The sequence below is a fragment of the Homo sapiens genome, chromosome 4 (assembly GCF_000001405.40).
Source record: "Homo sapiens chromosome 4, GRCh38.p14 Primary Assembly".
NCBI classification, from domain to species: Eukaryota; Metazoa; Chordata; class Mammalia; order Primates; family Hominidae; genus Homo; species Homo sapiens.
Window position 1 is genome coordinate 188,040,238 of NC_000004.12, and position 3,001 is coordinate 188,043,238.

The window sequence follows — 3,001 nt, forward strand, 5'->3', positions numbered from 1 at the left end:
AATATTTACATACATTATTTGGAATTCCCTATGGGAGATTTGTCTCTTCTTCACTATTCATATGCTAGATTTTCTGTGTATTACAGGGTTCTTTTTATACAGCAATTACCAAAAAAAAAAAAAAAAAAAAAAACCTGCCTACTGCCTACATATAAACATTTTTATCTGAGATATTTCCATTATACCTCTAAATGAAGAAAGTAAATGCTAACAGTTGTTAACTGATAATTTGTTCAACAAATATGCATTAGGTTTGGCGAGATGGTTTATGTCTGTAACCCCAGCACTTTGGGAGGCTTAGGTGGGAGGACTGCTTGAGCTCAGGAGTCTGAGACCAGTCTGGGCAACATAGAAAGATCCCTGTCTCTACAGAGAAATTTGTAGGCTGGGCGCCGTGGTTTACGCCTGTAATCCCAGCACTTTGGGAGGTCGAGGCAGGCGGATCACTTGAGGTCAGGAATTTGAGACCAGCCTGGCCAACATGGCGAAACCCCGTCTCTATTTAAAAAAAAAAAAAAAGTAGAAAAATTAGCTGGGCGTGGTGGCGGGCTCCTGTAATCCCAGCTACTCGAGAGGCTGAGACAGGAGAATCACTTGAACTCGGGAGGCAGAGGTTTCAGTGAGCCAAGATCGTGCCACTGCACTCCAGCCTGGGTGACAAGAGCGAGACTCCTTCTCAAAACAAAACAAACAAACAAACAAACAAACAAAAAAGAAGGAAATTTGTAAAAAAAAAAAAAAATTAGCCAGGCGTGGTGTCATGCACCTGTAGTCCTAGCTACCAAGGGGGCTGAGGCAGGGGGATCACTTAAGCCCAGGAATTCAAATCTACAGTGAGTCACTATCCTGCTACTGCACTCCAGCCTGGGTGACAGAACAAGACCCCACCTCTATACATGCTACCCTGGCAGGCACTTGATAAACACAGTGCTGCTGATGAGGCTCACGGGCTAATAGACAATCACAATGCGGTATGATTGGTGACCTCTGGAATATATGTATACATGCAAAGGAGCCTACAGGACTTCCACACAGAGGGCTTAGGGTCAGCAAACATCTCAGAAGGACGGGCATTCGGCTGGGCGCGGTGGCTCACCCTTGTAATCCCAGCACTTCGGGAGGCCGAGGCGGGTGGAACACTAGGTCAGGAGTTAGAGACCAGCCTGGCCGACACAATGAAACTCCGTCTCTACCAAAAATACAAAAAATTAGCCTGGGGTGGTGGCGGGCGCCTGTAATCCCAGCTACTGGGGAGGCTGAGGCAGGACAATCGCTTGAACCCGGGAGGCAGAGGTTGTGGTGAGCTGAGATTGCGCCACTGCACTCCAGCCTGGGCGACAAGAGCCAAACTCCATCTCATAAAAAAAAGGGACAGGCATGGGGCATGCCAGGCAGGCAATTTTAGACTGTACTTGTGTAGATCTTTACTTGACGTTGCAGAAATGTCAACTGTTTATATATGTATTTTTAATGGTAGTGTATGTGATACAGAAGTGCTGGGTAGAGAAGAGCATGGTCCCTTTAAATAATTCGGAAGTGGGGAAGGGATGTGCCGGGTAAAGGAGGGCGTGGTCCTTAGCTAGGGCTCCGCCCCCACGGACCTAGGTGAGGACAGGCATCTCTGCCCAAATGTTGCATTTCCCGCCCAAATGTTGCATTTCCCAAAACCACCCTGGCCTGCCATGGCCGCATCCTGGGCCTATAAAAACCCAAGATGCTAGCAAGGCAGTGACAGAGGCCGCCAGACGTTGAGAGGACAAGTCAGCAGAAGACGCCACAGCCGCTGGCGGTGGAGAGGAGGTCGAGAGGCTCACGCGCGCAGAAGAAAATACCGGCACACGGACAGGCCATTGACCGGCAGGACCAGGCGGAGTTTGGCCCGGGCAGTGGGAGGAGAGCCAGGGGAAGATCATCTTCCTTCTGGCTCCCCATCGTGGGAGAGTTAACACTTGACACTCGTTCTCCAAGCCCAGGTGTGCTGCGATTCTTCAGGTACACCAAGGCAAGAACCCGGGATACAGAAATCCCTCTCTCCTTGCGATAAGGAAGGGGGCCTATTGAGCTGGTTAACATGAGCCGCCTATAGACACCTTGTAACAGACGCCCCCTGGGTCTTCAGGAGCCGTAAACATCCACCGCAGACACCGCCGTGGGGTCGGAGCCGCACAAAGCTCCCCTGGAGGTTTGAGCAGCGGGAAGCGAGCCAGAGCCACACCCCAACTGCACACCCTGCGGGGGCCTTTCAGATGGGAAGAGAGTAAGTCTCCTCCTGGTACTGTAACTTTGAGGTTTGGTGATTTTTTTTTTTTTTAAACAGTCTTTGAAGACTGATATAAATGGTTTGGCCAGTGCCACTACCAGGTGCTGTCTGGTTTTAGATGAATAACTTTAATTCCCTGAGCTTAACTTTTCATATTTTCTTAGTGTTTTGTGAATATTCAAGCTAAGTCAGCAGTAGCGACTTAGTGCATGACTTTTTGCCACCCCTAATGCATGTCCCTTTGCAATGTGATGGTTATCTTCTCCCATCAATAGGTGAAGTCCATTTTCTCCTCCTTTGAGTCTGGGCTTGACTGACTAACACGGCTTTTGCTAATGGGAAATTAACAAACATGATAAAGAGGCTTAAGAAGAACTGACGTTGGGGTTTTGCTTCCTGCTGCTCCTGGGACCCTGCTGTCATGTGAACACATCGGATTATCTTGTCGGAGAATGAGACCAGGGGAAGAGAACCAACCTACCCTGGCCGATAGAAAGCCACTCCCAGGGCCGGACACGGTGGCTCACGCCTGTAATCCCAGCACTTTGAGAGGCCAAGGTTGGTGGATCACTTGAGGCCAGGAGTTCGAGACCAGCCTGGCCAACATGATGAAAGCCCGTGTCTACTAAAAACACAAAAATTAGCTGGGCGTGGCGGGCGCCTGTGATCTCAGCTACTCCGGAGGCTGAGGCAGGAGAAGTGCATGAACCCGGGAGGTGGAGTTTGCAGTCAGCCAAGATT

General features: G+C 49.7%; 1 annotated feature.

Annotated features, from left to right (window-relative positions):
* Positions 1,534–2,387: an enhancer, noted in NCBI's record as "H3K4me1 hESC enhancer chr4:188962925-188963778 (GRCh37/hg19 assembly coordinates)". NCBI's record gives its function as "activates a minimal SCP1, AML or CMV promoter by ChIP-STARR-seq in naive H9 embryonic stem cells {active_cell/tissue: H9 hESC(naive)}" and the evidence as "EXISTENCE:reporter gene assay evidence [ECO:0000049][PMID:30033119]".